We start from the raw sequence: 20,244 nt of genomic DNA, 5'->3' as shown, positions 1-20,244 counted from the left end.
TTTTGTCTTGAGATATTTTTAAAATTCCCTTTTGATTTCCTCTTTTGTCCAATGGTTGCTCAAGTATGTGTTATTTAGTTTCCACATATTTGTGAATTTTCTAATTTTCTTATTGTTATTGATTTCTAGTTTCTTCTCATTGTGGTCAGAGAAGGTACTTGGAATAATTTAGATCATCTTGAATTTGTTAAAATTCCTTTCCTTTCCCTTTTCCCCTTCCCTTCCCTTCCCTTCCCTTCCCTTCCCTTCCCTTCTCTTCCCCTCCCTTCCCCTCCCTTCCCCTCCCCTCCTCTCCTCTCCCCTCCCCTCCCCTCCCTTCCCTTCGCCTTCGCTCCCCTTCCCTTCCCTTTCTTGACAGAGTTTTGCTCTTGTTGCCCAAGCTGGAGTTCAATGGTGTGATCTCGGCTCACTGCAACCTCCACCTCCTGGGTTCAAGTGATTCTCCTGCCTCATCCTCCTGAGTAGCTGGGATTACAGGTGTGTGCCACCACGCCAGGCTAATTTTTTGTATTTTTAATAGAAACGGGGTTTCACCATGTTAGCCAGGCTGGTCTCGAACTCCTGACCTCAGGTGATCCACCCCCCTCAGCCTCCCAAAGTGCTGGGATTACAGACATTAGCCGAATTTGTTAAAATTTTTTTGTGACCTAACATGTGATCTATCCTGGAGAATGTTCCAAGTGCACTTGAGAAAAATGTATATTTTTCTGCTATTGAGTAGAAAGTTCTGTATATGTGTTAGGTTCTTTTGGTCTATACTGTTGCTTAGTTTTGCTGTTTCCTTATTGATTTTCTTTCTGAATCATCTGTCCACTATAGAGAGTGAGATATTAAAGTCCCCTACTACTGTTATATTGCTGTCTATCACTCCCTTTAGCTCTTTCAATGTTTGCTTTATATATTTAGGTGATCTGATGTTGAGTGCATATAGACTTATATTTGTTATATCTCTTGTAGAAATGACCCTTTTATCATTATATAGTAACCTTTTTCTCTTATAACAGTTTTTGACTTAAAGTCTATTTTATCTGACATAAGCATAGCCACCCATGTTATCATTTGTATGGAATATCCTTTCCCATCGCTTTACTTTCAGTCTATGTGCATCCTTAAAGCTAAAACGAGTCTCTTATAGGCAGCATGTTGTTGAATCTTGTTTTTTTTAAATCCACTCAGACATTCTACATCTTATGTTTGGAGAATTTAGTCTATTTACATGTAATGTAAATGTTTATAAGCAAAAACTTACTCTTGTCATTTTATTAATTTGTTTTCTGATTGTTTTGTAGTTCCTTTTTTTCTTTCTTCCTGCCTTCCTTCATGATTTGTTGATTTTTTTATAGTGGCATACTTTGATTCCTTTTGCTTTTGTGTATCCACTAGAGATTTTACTCCTTGTGATTACAGTGAGGCTTACATAAAACATCTTATAGTTATAATAGTCCATTTAAAGCTGATCACATTGCATACAAAAGAGTTTTGTATGCGATTGAAGTTAAGTAAAAGTAAACACTTTTACTTCTGTTCTTAAAACCATTTTAAAGAAAAATCTCTCTTAAAACAATTTTTCTATTAAAAAATTATATTTGATCATAGCAAAAACATGAAAACAGTATAGAAAAGTTAAAAAATGAAAACTAAAGTCTCCCTGGTTGACCTTTCTTAATGCCCCCTTTATTCCCATGGCCCAGCAGTAAAATTGGTAGTGTATTTTTTTCAGAAAATTATATATATAGGTATATTCAGAAAATCATGCACACACACACATAATCCTTTATAATCCCTTTTTCTCTACATAAATGGAATTTTATGTGTACTGTTTTTTGGTCACAATATATCTTGGATATAGTGTTCTATCAGCACATATAGCTCTATCTCACTTTGAAAATACTCCCCCTCACCCTATAGTATATTTCCTGCTTCTGTTGCATTTATGCATTGTATGTCCACCTTGGCTTACTTGTCAGGGTAAATCAGTGGGATAGATTCCTGGAAATGGAATTTTCAGATCAAAGGCACAAACATTTAAAAAATAATAAATATCACCAAATAGGTCTTCCACGTGGGTTTATCAATTTATAGACTTACCTACCATGTATCAAATGGTGTCTTTTTGCTCAGAACCTTGTTCTATCCTGGTATTATTTAATATTTTTGCCACTTTGACACTTAATAATCGTAACTTGCTATTAGTTGAATTTCTTTAATGATGAATGAGGTGGAGCCTCTTTTCCTATGTTTAATGACCATTTATATTTTTCTGTGAAACAGCATTTTTCCCACTCGTTGTTCATGCTTTACTTCTTAATTTGCCGTAACTTTTTGTTTATGAAGGAAATCAATCTTTTGTTATATGGGATATAAATCTCTCCCCCACTGTGTAATATTTCTTTTAACTTTGTTTATAGTCTCTATTTTTTCCAGTACAGAAGTTGTTTGTTTTTAGCCAGAAGTTTTTCCTTTAATGTCTTCTATGTTTTACACAGCATTTAACCATTCTCCATGCTCAGATTTTAAAATGATGTGTAATATTATCATCTGGTGAAAGTGACTTTCTCTCAGCCTCCTCAGATTCTTGCTTTGCATCCAAGAGAATCGTCTGGGAGGAGGCAGGAAGGGAACGTGGCAGGGAAGCTCCTATGTAACAGGACAGGGCTCCCAGGATCCTTCTCAGCTGCTCTTCTGAGGCTTTGGAAGATGATGGGACGATCAGGTTGCCACGTGATGCCTTTGAGCAGATGGTTCCAGGTGCCAGGGCCCATGAGTATCTGGGCTGCATCCTGGTGATGCCAGGAAGCCTTCCATGCCCCCTCCAGCCCTTAACCAGGCATCCCTGAGACTCTGGGAGTGTCTTACCCATGCCTCACTGCTCAGATCTGAATTACAGAAGCAGACAATTTGAGAGCCAGAAGGAACCTTAGATATCATCTATGTCAGTGCCAACGTTTTTTTTTTTTTTTTTTTTTTTTTTTTTTTTTTTTTTTTTTGAGATGGAGTCTCGCTTTATTGCCCAAGCTGGAATGCAGTGGGGTGATCTCGGCTTGCTGCAACCTCTGCCTCCTGGGTTCAAGCAATTCTCCTGCCTCAACCTCCTGAGTAGCTGGGATTACAGGTGCATGCCACCACACCTGGCTAATTTTTGTAATTTTAGTAGAGACAGAGTTTCATCATGTTGGCCAGGGTGGTCTCGAACTCCTGACCTCAAGTGATCTACCCGCCTCGGCCTCCCAAAGTGCTGGGATTACAGGTGTGAGCCATTGCTCCCCAGTTTTATAATTGAGGAAATGGAAGGAAAGTTCCAGGACATGAGGATGGGAAATGGCAGAACAGTAGGCCTCTCTGTGTGCAGCCAAGACACTCACAGCCCATGTGCTCCCTCCCGTTGTCTTAGGGGTGAGTTGGTCAATTACCCTGAAGGCTCCCTGAGGACCCTCTGTGCCTCATGCTTCTGTGTTACCCACGGTCTTTAGACAGAGTCGGACATGCAGTGGGTGCTCTATAGAACCCCATTTGCGGGTCTATGGGAACGCCGGGGTTCTGGGGCAGCTCTGATGTCCAAGGAGGCTTTGCAGGCTATGTACTGTGTCCATAGTTGGTTGGCCCAGAAAGCCCACTTTGGGTGTGGGTTTTAGCCTGTCTTGAGGACAGCAGGGGCGGAAGGCCTTTGGATCCCCTGGAATGGAATAGAGGGTGTGGGTGGAAGTGGGATTCACTCTTTTCCTACTGGTAGACGAGGGGAGGTGCCCCAGCCTTTCCTGCTCACCAGTGGCTCTGGCGGTGAGGTGGGCAGGGCTGACCCATGGCCAAGGGCAGATGGATCTGCAGTTCTTACCTGTCTCCTTCACCAGTACAGAAAGCAGAGTGTGAGGGTGGCGTCTGGGAAGCATGGGAGAGGTGTGGAGGTGGCCCTGGCCTCCAGGGCTCCAGGCTGCCACCCCTCCCACCTCTGGATGGGATGCCCAATGCCGGGCAAGGCAGATAAGCCCGGTGAGGAAGGGGATGAGCTGCCAAAGGCGTCGAAGACAAACATGTTAATAGCAGCAGACAGGAGTGGGAATGGATTAATGGGTTATTTTAGAGGGGGTCTTAGGTGCTTAAGTGGGGATTACAGATGTGCATGATAATCTGTTTGAACAGGAAGCAAAGTGGGAGAGACAATTAAAAAAAGCAAAATACGAGTTTGTCTCAGGGTTTTGTTCTTCCAAGGGTGGCACATCAGGACACGGGGCTCTTAGAAACTCCCACTCACTGGGGTGAAGGGTTGGAAGGATGAGAGAAGGAGCCAGGGCTGATGTGCCGAGAGCAGCCTCCGATGCCTCACGATGGAAATTCTACTGACCCACCTGGCCCTCGGTTTATTGACTTCTAATTTCAGTTACAAAGCATGTCCAGTCTCCAGGCCCTCAGGGTGTGGAGCACACAGAATCCGTTACAGTTAAAAAAAAAAACAGCCGCTGGAGTCTGGCTGGCACCAAGTCCCACTGGGGGCCTGCGGAGGCATCTGCCCATCTGGGGTTTGATCAGGCAGTGAGGAGGTGGCTCACCTGTGCATCCATGAGACCAGGGCCCTGCAGGGCTCACACTGGGGCCTGCCCACCCAGCCCACCTCCCTACGGTGGACACGCGTTCTGTGTTCTCCCTGCAGCTGCCGCCCCGGGGAGGGGGTGCACCCGGAATGACCTGAGCCCAGAGCTTCTCCGGTTGGTGGTGGCCTTGCCCGCTGGCACTGACAGTGGCTCTGGCCTGGGGCCCCACAGTCAAGCTCTCCAGGGAGTCTTCTGGCGGCCACTTTGCCCATGCAGGAGCCCCAGGTGGCTGAGTCTTAGCTGTGGCTCCTGGGCTCTGTACTCACAGTTTTTCCAGGGTATCTGGGGAAACCGAGCCCCGGACTCTGGAGGCCGAGTCATGGCCCCGTGAACACTGTGGGGCGTTGCCAACATGGGCCGACAGCTCCTTTAGGAGAAACTCTCCTTGAGGAACTTCGTGGATGGTCTGCAGAGTGACTTTAGGAAAAATGGCTGAGAAATTCCTGACTGGGTCCAAACTTGGGTATCTCAGGGACTTGGTAAAAGTGCCCATCTCTCTTTCAGTGTCCCCTGTGGAATACAGGAGTGTTTTAAATGAAATTTTTCAAGGCAGGGTCTTGCTCTGTTGCCCAGGCTGGAGTACAGTGTTGTGATCACAGCTCACTGTAGCCTTGACCTCCAGGCCCAAGCCATCCTCCTGCCTTACTTAGCCTCCTAAGTAGCTGGAACCACAGGTGTGCACCATCAGGCCTTGCTAACTTTTTTTTTTTTTTTTTTTTAGTAGATACGTGGTCTTGCTATGTTGCCCAGGCTGGTCTCAGACTCCTGGGCTCAAAGGATCTGCCTGCCTCAGCCTCCGGAAGTGCTGGGATTACAGGTGTGAGCCACTGTACTCCGCCACAGGAGCGTGTGGCCGGGGACTCGTGCATGCCAGGGAAGAGCACTGGCTTCCGGATCCTCTGACTTCACCATGTGACTTGGCCAGCAATGACCCTGGGTTAGAGATAGGTGGAGCGGAGGCAGGCAGTGGTCAGAGACCCCAGACATGGGGTCCTGGCACCACAACTGTGATTTTCCATCACTTTAGAGGCACCAACAGGGGTCCCTCTGGAAACGTGGAGCAGAATCATCCAGGATCCCGAAGAGGACTTTGTCCTCCTGCCCATTTCCAGTTCCTCTCCCATCTCCTCTGGTTTCCAGAAGCAGCACATCCCCGGCCCCACCCCTCATCTGTATACGGATCCTCCTAATGCAGACCCAGGTGATGGAAAACCCGTCTACAACGAACCAAGGCTGTTCGTGCTTTCAAATATTAAATTCTGTTCAGAATATTAAATAATTTCATCTTCAGTGATCCCAGTAAATTTAATTAGCTCTTGTTCTCCCAATAGAGTTGTCTCTTGGTTGCTGAAATGTTGCATTCTCAAGGAAGGAGGCCCACATTCCTGCAGCGCGGAGGGCTCGCTGTCTCCCTGCGCAGCCTGCCCTGCCGCAGGCACCACGGCACATCGGCTGCCAGGATCCCCTGTGCCCTGGCAGGAGGCGGATGACACGGAGCTCTGCTGTCCGTGAGCTGTTCATTCTCTGGGGGCAGGGAGAACCTTGAGGGATCTGCTGGGTACCCTCCGTCAGGGTGCTGTGCAAGGGCAATTATAAACGACACTCCAGGGACCCCACAGAGCTGGCATCCTTCTTCCAGGGGGAGCAGCCTGAGGGTGGCTGGGTCTGCCTGTGTCCTGGAGCTAGGCCCGTGAAGATGGGTCTCCATCATTTCTCCATCTTCTGGCCCCCGCTCTAGGGAAGTGTGGGCAGCTCCTCCTGAGAGGTGAGCCACTGGGGAGGGTTGCAGGGAATTCCTGAGACACTGCGGTGAGAAGACACTTCCTCGGTGCCTTGAGAACATAATCAAAGGTCAATACCATGAGAAATGGTGGGGAAGGTGGTGCCTCCCAGGCCCCGTGTGGTCAGCCCTGGCCGGTCCCTCATGGACCCCAGTCTGGACGCTGAAGGTGGATGTCTTCCTGGTCTGGGAGGACCTAGTCCCTGAAAGGCAGATGAGTGTACAAGCTGGTGTCTGACACTGGCTTGTAAATTCACATCTGGGTCCTCCCTAAGCCTCCAAATAGGCCCGTGCACCGTGTGAATTGCAGTCAACGACTTTCTTCCTGGAATCACTCTCACTGCCCGTGTCTCCTTCTTGACCCTGGGGGCATCTATAGAGTGTTTAGACCCACACTTCCTGATGAATTTCTTGAGATGGCCGAGGCAGATGATGTGGTGATTTGAAGGCTGGAGGGTTCCTTCCCACATCTGCAGTGGTTCTCACACTGGAGCCGCCTGGGGAGGTTTCAACGTCCTGATGCGAGTCCCACCCCAGAGGGTTGACTGCACCCTGTGTGGGCTGCAGGATGGACGTCCAGATTTAGAAATCACCCTGGTTAATCCAAATGCAAGAGGCACTGGCGTGAGGTAGTGGAGAGACGACTTGCTTTGCTGTCTGAGTGGACTCTGGCTCTGACGGCCGTCCCTGGCCATGAGGTTCTGAAGAGACTGTGGCCTCCACCTCGTGGGGCGGGGGCTGTCGTGCTTTTCCGGGTTGCTTGCTCTGGGGGAAGCCTGCTACTGGGTGCTGAGCAAACCTTGCAGGTCTGGGTCACTTAGACTCTCAGAGACTCAGTTTCCACAACTGTAAACTGGGGTCAATAATGCAGACCCGCTGCATTATTTTGAGGGTTAAACGAGAAAATACACGTTAGGTGCCTAGTGCATAGTAGGGAGTCAGTAAGTGTTACTCACTTCTCTCCCTTCCTCTCCTGAACCACGAGCGTTAAAAATATTTTGTAAGGATGAAACTTCCAGAACTTGTGTTCAAATAATAATTAACACGGGCTGGGCCTTTTCCTGAGAAGCCCCTGATGAGGGTTGGAAATGTGTCTGCAATGGGCCATTTGCTCCACTGGCATTTGGAGAGCCCCTAACATCCTGATACCGGCAAACCCATTTAAACTTGAATCTGGAAAGGACTGTCAAGAGGCAGGATCAAGCAACACAGTACCCACATTTCCTCCGAGAAGAGCTCAAGCCGCCTCTGGGTGGCTCTTATGCAACACGTTTGCATCTGGCCACTGAACAACAAATAAAAACAACAGCAACAATGACCCATCTCCCTGACTGAGCGATGACTTGTTTGCATCATTAGTGCCGTATCCAGTCTGGGCACGGAGGTGCTGCATGCTTGGCCGACCGTGTTTCCCTAAGGCGCTCACTCTGGAGTCTTCTTGGTCAAAGGCCTGAGACTCTGCGGGGTTCTCGAGCATCGTGGAAACCCTACAGGCGGACCCCCACGTTCATCAGGAGGCAGTCCTTTAGTCTTCCTTCCCCTGTGAGCTGGTACCTTGGGGGAGAAACTGGATCCATGACATGCCTTACCAAGTTAAAAAATTTTTCCTTATAGTTTTCTTAATTACAAATACGATTCAGATCCAATGTAGAAAATTTAGAATATAATCATAAAATTCAAAAAAGAAAATACAAAATAGCCCGTCGTCCACTTACACAGAGGAAACCACTGCCAGGCCCAGGAGTGTGTCCTTCCAGCCTGCTTCGGAGGCCTGGGGAGTATAATGGGATTGCTTTGCACATTCTGTTTTATAAATCTTTTCATTTAATGGTTTATAAACACTTTGCAATGGCATTCAATATTCTTCTACAATAGGATTTTTAATGAGTGCACAAATTATTTACCAAGCACCCTGGAGTTGGACATTTAGTTTGTTTTCAATCTTTTGATGTTATGAGCAATGGTGCAAATATTCTAGTACATAAATCTTTCCAGATAAGTCTTTGTGTTTGTTCCTGAGTTTCTCCTTAGGGTAAATTCCTATAAGTGGAATTGCCGAGTTAAAGGTTAAACACATTTGGAAAGCTTTTGATCCGAGTGCCAATCTGCCCTCCAGAAAGATTACACTGACTCCGAATCCCACCAGCAAGCGAATGAGAGGTCATTTCCCCGCACCCCCTGAAGCACTGGGTGCAATGGGCATTTTCAAAATCTGGCAGGTGGAAAAAATGGAAGTGGGCTTTTGTTTTGATTTGCTTTGCTTTGGTGACTGGTGGGATTCGACACTGTCCCTGCTTTGGAGTCATTTCTCAGTCTTCTTTTGTGAGTGGCCTCTTCAAGTCCCTGCATGCTGAGGTGTCACCCAGCATGTGTGGCCCTGGCTTTGGTAGTTAAAGATGGCCTGGGAGGTGAAGATGGCTGCATGAAATTTGGAGGACAATATTTGGAGAAGATGGCAAAGCCACCCTATAGGTTGATTATTTCTTCAGGTTTTTCTCAGAGCACTTACCAGGTGGACTTGTTATCTGGCTGTTCACCCACCTGTCTCCCCAACTCCACACCCAGGGCGCGGGGGCAGGATTGCATCTTGCTCGTGCCTGTGGGCCCCTCTGCCTGCCCCAGAGCCGGTCACTTCAAAGGTGGCAAAGAATAGTTGTTGAATCAATGAATGAACAAAGGCCCTGCATGAGCTACTCCTTTCTTTGGGCAAATAGCAAAGTGGATCACGAAGGCAGCTCAGGACACTGCTGTGGTCTTCATGCCCCCTCGTGTTGCTTGGGGCAGTGGTCAAGCCCAGGGGACAAGGGCAGTGTGATGCTCCTATTCCAAAGGGCCGGTGCTGTGAAACAAGAATAATAGAAGAAAGTTGCCTTTTGTCTATTTATCATCAAATAGACAATCTGCCTTTCTGGAGGGCAGATTGGCACTCGGATCAAAAGCTTTCCAAGGAAACACAAAGTCCAGTGGTGGGAGACAGGGAATTGCTGCCTCATGGGTAAGGTCTTTCCTTCTGGGATGATGGAAGGTGCAGCAAGATAGAGGTGCTGGCTACAAAACATGGTGAATGCACCGAGTGCCCCTCAATTGCACACTTTAAATGGCTACTTTTATGTTATATAAATTTCGCCTCAATTAAAAGGAATGGAGTTCAGGGCTCCCCTCGCTGGCCCCAGCTCCTGCCTCTTCAGTCTAAACCCGGGCACGTCATGGCAGACAAGGACTCTGCGGCCTTGTGATGAAGCAGGGATTGCATCTATGCACCCATCCCCTAATTTCCTGTGTTAGCCCTAAGATCTCAGATCAGAACTGGTGTCCCACAATCCAGGGGAGTCTTCGAGGGGGAAACGATCAGGTTTGCAGAGGTCTGAGCAGGAAGCGCATTGGGGCCAGGCCGGGGTTGGTCATCCCTAGGTCTGTCCTTGTTTGGGGTGGGGAACAGAAGGATGTGCTAGGCTGGGAGGGTGACTTGAGCCAAGGGCAGCTGGGGACCAGGGCTCCGGCCTGGTCAAGCATAGATCAGCACACCTGTTTGTTTGGAGTTGGGGGTCCTGGAACAGAGGAGGGGGAGTTGAGCCTGTAGGAGCTTTTAAATGCTTAAAGCAGCCGCTTTCTCTGAGGCCTGGGATGCTGTGAGGACCCTTGGGCGGGGAGCAGGCCTGAGCAGAGCCTCTGTGCAGTTGTTCTGCCGCCAGCAGAGAGAGGCAGCCCAGGGGAGTGATGGGGGCTCAAACAGAGGTGAGGGGGTTGACGGGGACCGTGGGGGTCTCTTTTGTCTACGCTTGTACTTCTGCATCTTGAGAACGTAAGCCCTCCCCTGCTCCCTCCGCCGGCTGCCCTTGCAGGGGGCACTTGGAAGCCTGGAGGAGACAGAAACTAGCAACCTGGGGAGGGAGGAAGAAGAGTTATTTTGGAAAAAACGAGCTGCCCAGAGAAGGAGGAGGAGAGAGGAAAGTCATCTCCAGCAATAAGCAGCTCACCTCTCCTCCCTACCACCCCAGCCACCTACGCCGCTGCTCCCTGCAGAAGAGAAGCAGGAAGAGGTTTTGCAGAAGGCACCAGGCTGCTTGGGTCTCGGATCCTTGGAGAGGCGCGGGCTCTTATTCTTTGGCTTGCTGTGGGCAGCCTGGGGCTGTTTCACATAGAATCACAGGTCTCACTCCTGGAGTCAGGCCTGAGGGCTTATGGGGTCTTTCCTGTTAGCAGAGGAGAAAGCCGAGCCCTGGTCCCATCCCTGGCAGGCAGGCAGAGCTGAGCCCGGCTCCCAGGCCCTCGGCACAGGCAAAGTCCTGGCTTAAACTCTCCTCTACTTCACCGGGGAGGCTGTGTTCCTATTTCTCAGGTGCCATGGGGCCTGGTTGTGCCCAGCTGGACACTCCAGGGGGTGGGGGAAGCTATGTTGAAGATGCACCTGGGGGGAAGGTGGCATCAGGTGGAGGCACTGGTCAAAGTCACCTGGGAGCCCAGGGTCCTTGATTACTACTGCTGGAAACAGAATAACAGACCAGGCTCCTCAGAGGGCACATTCCCTGGACAGGGAAGGGCCAGGGCTCCTGCAGTCCCCAGCCTGGTCACACCTCCGTGTGTGGCTGTTGGCAAATCAGATGACCGTCTGAGCCCCAGGTTTTTCCTTTCCTTATTTTATTAGTAACATGCCAAAAGTATTATTTGCTGGGTGCATCTTCCTGTTTCATTCTGAGGCTCGAGGCTGAATTGAGATAGAAATGGTGTTTCCGTTAAGACATACATGAGGCTGAGCATGACCGAGGCTCCAGGCTTCCATGGGTCTTCCACAGATCAGAAGTTAATTTTCTCAGAAGTGACCATCTGGAGGCAGGTGGCTGAGCCCCGGGAGGTCACCGGAGGCTCGAGCACCTTCTCTCTCGGGACTCCCCATCCTAAGGGTGTCGGCCCACATGCTTGGCCCAAGAAGGCTCACAATTCACCGCATTGCAAACATGCGGTAGAGATGGGGGGATGCCCCCTTCAGTGTGTGACCCGGGAGCTGGAGCTGTCACTTCTGTGTATATCCCATCGGTGGGAGAGTAGTCACAGACTCACACCCAGCCCGGGAGGCGTGGTCTTTATCCTGGACGATGAGGTGCCCAGCTGAATATCGAGAATCCTGCTATTGGCACAAAAAAGGAGAATGCAGATGGGGCCGTGAGAATCCTGGTTCCAGACGGGGGATGATGATTTTAGTATTAAGCCCCGGAGACACCGGGAAGCCCATTCCTTCCCTGCAGAAGCGACAGTGGCCGCTTCCTGCTTACTGGCGTGGCCCGCTGAGACAGGTGATGAGACAGCATCCTGCCCTAGCTGGGAAGGAAGGCTTTCCCCCTTTTCTTTTGTTAATAAGCAAAGAGAAGTGGCTAGGAGGCACTGCTGTGGACGGAATGGGATGGGGTGGGAGGTGCAAAGGTTGGAGGGTCTGCTAGAAGATGCTAACTTTTGGAGGATGAGTCCAGGGAAGTTTCTGGTCCACCTGACCCTTGGCAGAGGCCTCCCTGCATCTCCTTGCCCCCAGCATCCTCCCCCCACTTCCTGTGTTCTCCCACTGTCATGTAAACTATGAGAAAACAGGATGCCGCTTACTGCCCCAGGCCACAGTCTTAATAATTTTAATGTATTCTTGTTCTGTTCACTTCAATAAACTATTTCCCACTAACTGTTCATTAGCCCGCCTTTCCCCTGGAGCAACTGCAAAACCATAAACAGCACCTCGTCCCCCCAAACCCCCTCGCTCTCAAAGTTGGGGCTTCTGCTGGTGGTAAGGGGCGCTGCCTCCCATGCCCTAGCGGCCGCAGCCACCCCCGTCTGCGCACGTGTGTGGGCGAGTGAGAGTGGGCCACATGCCCACCTTTACCCAACTCATTTATTTATTTATTTTTGAGACGGAGTTTTGCTCTTGTTGCTCAGGCTGGAGTGCAATGGCTCGATTTCGGCTCACTGCAACTTCCACCTCCCGGGTTCAAGCAATTCTCCTGCCTCAGCCTCCTGAGTAGCTGGGATTATGGGCACCTAGTGCCATGCCCAGGTGATTTTTGTATTTTTAGTAGAGATGGGATTTCACCATGTTGGCCAGGCTGGTCTCGAATTCCTGACCTCAGGTGATCCGCCCCCACTCAGCCTCCCAAAATGCTGGGATTACAGGTGTGAGCCACCACGCCTGGCCCCAAACTCACTTATTTTTAAAAATAAAAGCACATGTCCATCCAAATGTTGATAGTGCCTTGATTTACGATACCCCTAACCTGGAGATAAATGTACACCAACAGCAGCTAAGCAAATTGTAGCACATCCATGCGATGGAATACTACTCAGCAATGAAAAGGAGTGAACCTTTGGTGCAGGCAAGGGCATGGCCGCATCTCTGGGGAATGGTGCTGAGGGAAGGCAGCCAGGCAACAAAGAAGTATGTACTGTGTCATTTCACTTATATAAACTCCAGAAAAGGCAAACTCATGTACAGGGACAGACAGCAAGGCAGTGGTTGCCCGGGGGTGGGGAATACAGGGAGAGGGAGGAGGAGGAGGAGGGCACATCAGGGCAGGAGGAAACCTTGGGGGTGACGGATATGTTCCCTATCCTGATGGTGGTGATGGTTTCACGGGCATATCTGCATGTCATAGCGCATAAACTGTACCCTTTAACCATGGGAGGTGTGCCATATGCCAGTCACACCTCAATCACGCCCTTTAAACACACACACATGCTGCCTTCCCCAGTCTCTGAGTACACAGGGCAGGAGTCCTGCCCTTGGGGCGCTTCGTGGTGGGGACCCCTTCCTTGAGCTTGGCTGGCAGTGAGTGTGCCCAAAGTGGGAGCTCCGGATGGTTCTCCTCGAGGGATGGGGCGGGGGGTGGGGGGCGGGGGTGCCTTCTAAGGGTGAGTTCAGAGGTGGGAGAACCTCAGTGACATGGGAGAGGCGTCTGCAGGCTCCAAGGGCTGCCTGTGAGTGGAGGGTCGGCAGGGCCCTTACTTCCAGAAGTGCCGAAGCACCTTGGCCATCCTGGACACAAGAGAAGCAGGTCCCGAGAAAATCCTCAACAGAGACAGAGGACTGAGGTGGTGCTAGGCACCAGGGTGAGCTGCTCCCTTCGCTCGGCTCTGGATTTAGTTCGGACTTGCTGGTCTCTGAGAGGGCTCTGTGGTCGCTGTTGGACTTGAGTCTCCAGATTCCACCAAACCCCCTGCCCTGGAGCTCCTCCCTGTCTTTCTGGCTGCCTGGCAACTGGAGGCCTCTCTGTGATGGAGGACTTTCTGGAATGATGGAACTTAGTAGGGTGAGGGCTGCCTCCCTCCCTTCCCCAGCCTCCCTCCCTTCCCCAGCCTCCCCTGCAGCTAAGGCCAGCCATGTGGCCCGGACTTGGCCAGGCAGGTGTGTCCATGGCAGACCCTGATCCGGGAGCTGACGGGTCTCGGGGAAGGAGATGAGGCCTCCCCTCTCTAGGAAGCTGTACTGGGGTGGTTGAAGCGTCACCCTTCTTGGTGTAGAAGTGGTAGATTAAGTTTTCTAGGACTACCGTAACAAACTGCAACAAACCTAGTGGCTTAAAACACAGAAGTTCATTATCTTGCCGTTCTGGAGGTCAGAAGTCCGACACTGGCCTCTCTGGGCTAAAATGCAGAAAGGCTGCATTCCCTTCTGGAGTGTCAAAGGTGCGGTCTGTTTCCGGGCCTCTTCTAGTCTCTGGAGGCTGCTTGCGCTCCTTGGCTCCCAGCTCCCTCTTCCTTCTTCAAGATGGAAGCCCTCACCCTGCGGAGCCAGCAGCACAGCTCTCTCCGACCCACCTCCATCATCACATTGTCTCTGACACCGACTCTCTTGCCTCCTCCACTTTTTTTTTTTTTTTTTTTAGAGACAGAGTTTAGCTCTTGTTGCTCAGGCTGGAGTGCAGTGGTGCAGTCTTGGCTGACTGCAATCCCCATCTCCTGGGTTCAAGCGATTCTCCTGCCTCAGCCTCCTAAGTAGCTGGGATTGCAGGTGTGGGCCACCATGCCTGGCTAATTTTTTATTTATTTATTTTTTAGTAGAGACAGCGTTTCACCATGTTGGCCAGGCTGGTCTCAAACTCCTGACCTCAAGCAATCCACCCCGCCTTGGCCTCCCAAAGTGCTGGGATTACAGGTCTGAGCCACTGCGCCCAGTCTCCTCTTCCACTTTTAAGGACCCTGTGGTTACGTTGGGCCACCTGGATCATCCAGGATCACCTCCCATCTCAAGGTCACCAGTGAGCAACCCCAATCCCATCTGGAACCTTCCTTCCTCCTTGCTGTGTAACCTAAGATAGTCACAGGTTCCAGGGGTTAGGACGTGGACATTTTGGGGCCAGTATTCTACCTCCCTCCTGTGGGGTATCTCAAACTCAGCGCCCAGGCTGTGGGCAGCAGTGGGCATGGTGGTGTTCTTGAACCAGTTTTTTGGTAGTTTTGGTTGCTTCTAGAAGTTCAGCCTTGACCCCATACCTTGCTCTGCGTCTATCAAGTCCTCAGTTTCTTCATCTGTAGATGGGGATGAGCACACCTGCAGAGGTCAGGGAAGGATCCTGAGTGGAGGCAGTCTCTTCTTCAGCTGGGAAGGATTCTGCTGGGGCAGTAACAGGGCTGGGGCACGTTTCTGGCTCCCCGGTCAGGTGTACATGAGTGTAGGGGAGGGAGCTGAGGGTCTGGGCTGAGGCAGGGCAGTGGGGAGGCCAGGAGGGCACTGAGGACAGGGCGTGGTAGAGATGGGGCCTGTGGCTGATGGGGAGTGGCAGCTGGGGAAGGGGAGGAGCGGAGGCTCTGCCACGTTTGCAGAACAGGAACCACTGTGGCTGTGTTGGAATAAAGACATTAGTAGAAGAAACAGGTATATCATGGGCCCCTCAAAATCTATATGGTGCCGTCCTAACTCCCAGGACCTCTGCGTGTGACCGTGTTTGGAGAGAGGATCTTTGAAGAGGTGATTCAGGTGAAATGAGGTGGTGGGATGGGCCCCAATCCAACCTGACTGGTGTCCTCAGTGGAAGAGGGAATGTAGAATGCAGGCCACATGGGGACGGCTGTGGAGGACACAGGGAGGGGACGGCCAGCTGAGAGCAAGGAGAGAGGCCTCCGAAGGAAGCCGTCCTGCTGACATCTCCATCTTGGACGTCTGGCCTCAAGATCTGCGGGAGAATGAATGTTTACATCCACAGTCTGCGGTCCTCTGAGACGGTGGCCTGAGCCAACTCAGACCTGGGGGAGGGAGAGCAGTGGTGGTCTGGCCCTGTGAGAGGGAGAGGCCACCTCCCAGCCCCACCTCCTCTGGCTGAGTCTCGGGGAGGCAGGGAGAGCCCGGGGAGGGTGCAGGGTACGGGGCTGCCACTCCCCGTGACAGATGCTTCTCCAAGAGCAGGTTGGAACTGGAAGGAGGGGGCTCGGTCCTGCCACCCCCCACCCCATCAGGCTCCACGGGCAGGCGGTCTGAAGGTGTGCCAAGATGTGAGTCTGGCTGGCGGTGGTGGCCAGCAGCTGCTGCCTTTGTGGGTGGTGACTGGGTTAGCCTGTGTATACCTAGTAACATGTGCATGGCTGAAGAGAAACCCACAGAGAGTCTCCAGGAGGAGAATGAGAATGAAAGGACACCTTAGAAAAGCCCTACTTTTGAAAGATCTTGAACTAAGGAGAATGAAATTTACATTAAGGGTGAATTCAAAGACACGCACAGTTCAGGGTCTGAGAGGTCTGAGATTAGCTTGCGGTCTTCTCTGCAGCCTGTCCCTTATCCTTCTCCCCGGATTCGGGTGTCTCTTAAGCGGTGTCATGAACACACGCTCGATCTTGTATGATGTGTGTGTCTTCACACGGGTGAGAGCAGCCACCAGCAGCTGCTGCCTTTGTGGGTGGTGACTGGGTTAGCCTGTGTACACCTAGTAACACGTGCTAGCAGTGCTAGCAGCAAGCTTCCCATAGAGGCTGCATCCCACACAGCCACGTGCCCCTGAGTCCTGCAGGCACGCATGAACATTTAGTGACATGCACGACTCCCGCACTTGGTTTCTGAAGGACACTGGGTTATGCCCCGATGAAACTGACATTGACCCGACAGTCATCACTGAGAAGTTCATGGACACTTGTACAGGTCAGAATTTGCCACCCAGGCACTCAGTGTATTGCAAACTCTAACGACCAACATGATTCAGTGAAGTCTCACTTCTGCCTGTTGGTAGAGACGTGCTTTTACTATGGTTATTTAATATCTGCACCTTGAAAATGTGTAGATTCAGGATGGCCCCCTCGCTGGGTATCGTTGGCTTTGCAGGGTTGCTCAGGGCTCCATTCCTGCTCAACGGTTTCCCCCAGCTTGGATCAAGCCCTTCGGTGCTGGGTTTCAACTTTGGGATAATACAAAGTGAAGGACAGGCTGGGCGTGGTGGCTCACACCTGTAATTCCAGCACTTTGGGAGGCCGAGGCGGGCGGATCACCTGAGGTCAGGAGTTCGAGACCCGCCTGGCCAGCATGGTGAAACCACATCTCTACTAAAAATAGAAAAATAAGCCGGGCGTGGTGGCACGTGCCTGTAGTCCCAGCTACTTGGGAGGCTGAGGCAGGAGAGTCACTTGAACCTGGGAGGTGGAGCTTGCAGTGAGCTGAGATTGTGCCACTGCACTCCCACCTGGGCAACAGAATGAGACTCCATCTCAAAAAAAAAAAAAAAAAGAAGTTGGATTAACTTTAACAGGAGTAAGAGAAGTACCCCACTGATGTCTGGATGTCCCCAGGAACGGCGTAGAAGAAACCAGCCTGAAATGAGATCGGGTGTGATGTGGCAGCTAAGGACGTCACAGTGGACAGCCTGGGTCCCAAGGGCAGGAATGATAACCCTTCTCTGCCGTTTGCCCTGCTGTGGAGGGTGGAGCCAGGTTCTGGGACCATTGAGGAACCCCCAGAGAATCATGTGGGGTTCCAGGAGGGCATCAGGGTGTGGAGGGGGTCGCCTGAGAAATACCTACAGGACGGCATGGGCACATGTGTGCATGTGCGTGTGTGCATGTGCGTGTGTGCATGTCCGTGTGTGTGCGTGTGCGTGTGTGCATGTGCGTGTGTGCATGTGTGCGTGCGTGCGTGTGTGTGCGTGCGTGTGTGCACGCGCGGGTGTGCACATGTGTGCATGCGTGTGTGCATGTGCGCGTATGCATGTGCACGTATGCGCATGTGTGTGCGCGTGTGTGCACGTGCGTGTGTGCACGTGTGCATGTGTGTGCGCATGTGTGCATGTGCATGTGTGCACGTGCGTGTGTGCATGTCCGTGTGTGTGCATGTGGGCATGTGTGCATGTGTGTGTATGTCCGTGTGTGTCCATGTCCGTGTGTGTGCATGTCTGTGTGCGTGCGTGTATGTACATATTTGTGCATGTGCGTGTGTGCGTGTGTGCGCATATGCGTATGTGTGCACGTGTGTGTGCATGTGCGTATGTGTGCATGTGCGTGTGTGCATGTCCCTGTGTGTGCATGTGCACGTGTGTGCATGTGCACATGTGTGTGCATGTGTGTGCATGTCCGCGCGTGCATGTGTGTGCGCGTGTGCATGTGTGTATGTGTGCATATGCGTGCATGCACACATGTGTGCATGTGCTTGTGTGCATGTGTGCATGTACATATGTGTGCATGTGCGTGTGTGCATATGCATGTGTGCACGTGTGTGTGTGCATGTGCATGTGTGTGCATGTGCGTGTGTGCGCGTGTGGTTGGCTTGGGCTCCAGGGTGCGGGAAGCAGCCACGATTGCTGTTTTTGTTATTTTTCGTTACTCCAGAAGGTAGGTCTGAACTCCAACCTGGACGACGGCCAGAGGAGAATTTGGTTGCTGTTGAAAAGGATGTTTTCCAGTAGAGGAGGCTCCCCCAGGGCTGGAGGAGGGGAGATGGTGAATGGCTTGTCCCTGGAGTGCTTCCTGGGTGACACCCTGTCCGTCCGGGACGTGGAGGAGATCAGAGGATTGCTGGAGTCCACCTGCCCCGGAGCCTGCCTGAGTCCCTTCACAAGCCCTTTGTAGTGGGTTGAGCTGCCCCCCATCCCCTGTTCATGTCCACCTAGAACTTCAGAGCCTGCCTTATTTGGACACAGTACCTTTGCAGGTATAGTTAGATAAGATGAAGTCATACAGGATCAGGGTGGCCCTAAGTCCAACGACTGCTGCCCTTGTACAAAGAAGGGCAGAGGAGAAGGCTGCATGAAGACAGAGGCGGAGGTCAGAGAGACGCAGCCACAAGCCCCGGAGTACCTGGGATTGCCCCTGGCCCCCAGGAGCGAGGAGGGAAGCACGGGAGGGAGTCCCCCTGGAGCCTTTTGAGAGAGCCTGGCCCCACTGACACCTTGATTTCAAACACCTGGCCTCCAGAACTGTGAGAGAATAAGTTTCTGTGTTTTCAGCCTCTGGTTTTGTGGGACTTTGTTGTGGCAGCCCCAGGACCTGAATCCATGCTTTTGTGCTGGCCCTGGGCAGTCTCTGCACCTCCTAAAAGAGAAGACGCTGTCGAGGTTCTACCCTCCTGGAGTGCTAAAGAGCTTACAATCAAATGGAAAATTGGTGCTATTTTTCACGATGCCACGTCCCCTGCCTCTTCCTTTGAAAAGTATTTGATGCTTATAGCCAACGTCTTAGCATCCACAAACATATTAATATGATTATGGTTTCGACTGAACTGTGAAAAATGCACGTGTCTTTCTTGCCCTGTTGCCTCCATCTCCTTCCTGGGAGCAGAAACCCCGACTGGGCGAGTGTGATCTCCCAGTTCCATTTCCCGGCTTCCTCTGCCTGGGTCTCTCTAGTTCCTCCTCCTGCTCCCCGTCTCTCCCAGGCCTGCTGAGCCTAGTTTTCATTTGCCTCTTGCTGAGGGAGATGCAGGATATTGAGAGGAAAGACTTCATTAACATTCAGACGCTTTGCCTACACAATTGTAAACACCTGGATCTTGGGAAGCACAGAGAAATCAGATTGATTTTTCCAGCGCGTATCCAGATGTTTCTCATCACGTGGACACCCCCGTCTCTTCTCCATCCTCCGGAAAATCCATTTGTCCAGACGGATGTGCACTCCGCCGGCTTATGCAGCCCGCCTCTCCTTTCTGTTCATGACTTTTGCTGAGATTCGGCTGAGCACATCCACACAAAAGGGACAAGGACTCTACTTCTGCAGAACAAGCTGAGCACGGCCCTCCTTCCCCCAGGACTGCCTGGAGTTGCCTAGCAATCTGACACTATTCTGCCTGAGCAGACACACGGCTTGGATGGATTTTTCCTATTTTTAATTTGTTTTCTGGGTGGTATTATTGTGCAATCACAGGCTGAGCTCAGAGATACGGCTCACGTCCCACTCAAGACAAGGAGATGGAAGACGGGGAAGAACCTGTGGGCCCCTGAGTGGACTGCGGCGCCTGTTCCCGGAGACACTGGCCACTGCCCCGGCTGCAGAAATTGACGGTGCCTCAGAAAACCTTTGCTATTTCCACTTGTGTGTTTTTTAGGCTATCGCCGCTCCCCAAACACAGCTGTGTCATCAAGCAGCACAAAAACAGTAAATCCTTGTGGTGTGGACGTGGGACCCTGAACTACCTGGACTTCCCTCTGACATTTCCCATCCACGTGGGAGGAGAGACGGACGGCGTGCAAGTGGTTCATCCTCCTCTGGAGAAGATAAATGTCAGAACTGAAAGCCACTGGGCACTGATATGGAGTCGCACACTCTTAAATAAAATATCAAGCCTGGAGGTGCACATGTGACATCGCAGATGCGCTTGCTGCTCCCTGCATGTGACACAAGAGGCGGCGGGGCAGTGGGGCTGGCGCAGTAGGCAGCATCCCAGGCCAGGACCCAGAGCTGCTGGCGAGCCACGGGACATTCTGGGCCTCAGTGTTC

General features: G+C 51.3%; 1 protein-coding gene across 5 annotated transcripts in view; it reads left to right on the top strand.

The window, feature by feature from the left end:
• RBFOX3 (RNA binding fox-1 homolog 3) overlaps positions 1-20,244 on the top strand; it is a 576,227-nt gene that overhangs the window by 27,525 nt on the left and 528,458 nt on the right. Inside the window, exon 4 of one of the 5 annotated variants that reach the window (NM_001385807.1) lies at positions 359-477. The exons of the other annotated variants lie outside the window; for them this stretch is intronic. The gene's annotated coding sequence lies outside the window, so the exon portion shown is untranslated. The remainder of the gene's footprint in view (positions 1-358; positions 478-20,244) is intronic. 5 annotated transcript variants of the gene reach the window in all.

Source organism: Homo sapiens, chromosome 17 (assembly GCF_000001405.40).
Source record: "Homo sapiens chromosome 17, GRCh38.p14 Primary Assembly".
Taxonomy (NCBI): domain Eukaryota; kingdom Metazoa; phylum Chordata; class Mammalia; order Primates; family Hominidae; genus Homo; species Homo sapiens.
Note: the sequence above shows the minus strand (reverse complement) of the source record. Positions and strands in the feature narration are given on the sequence as shown.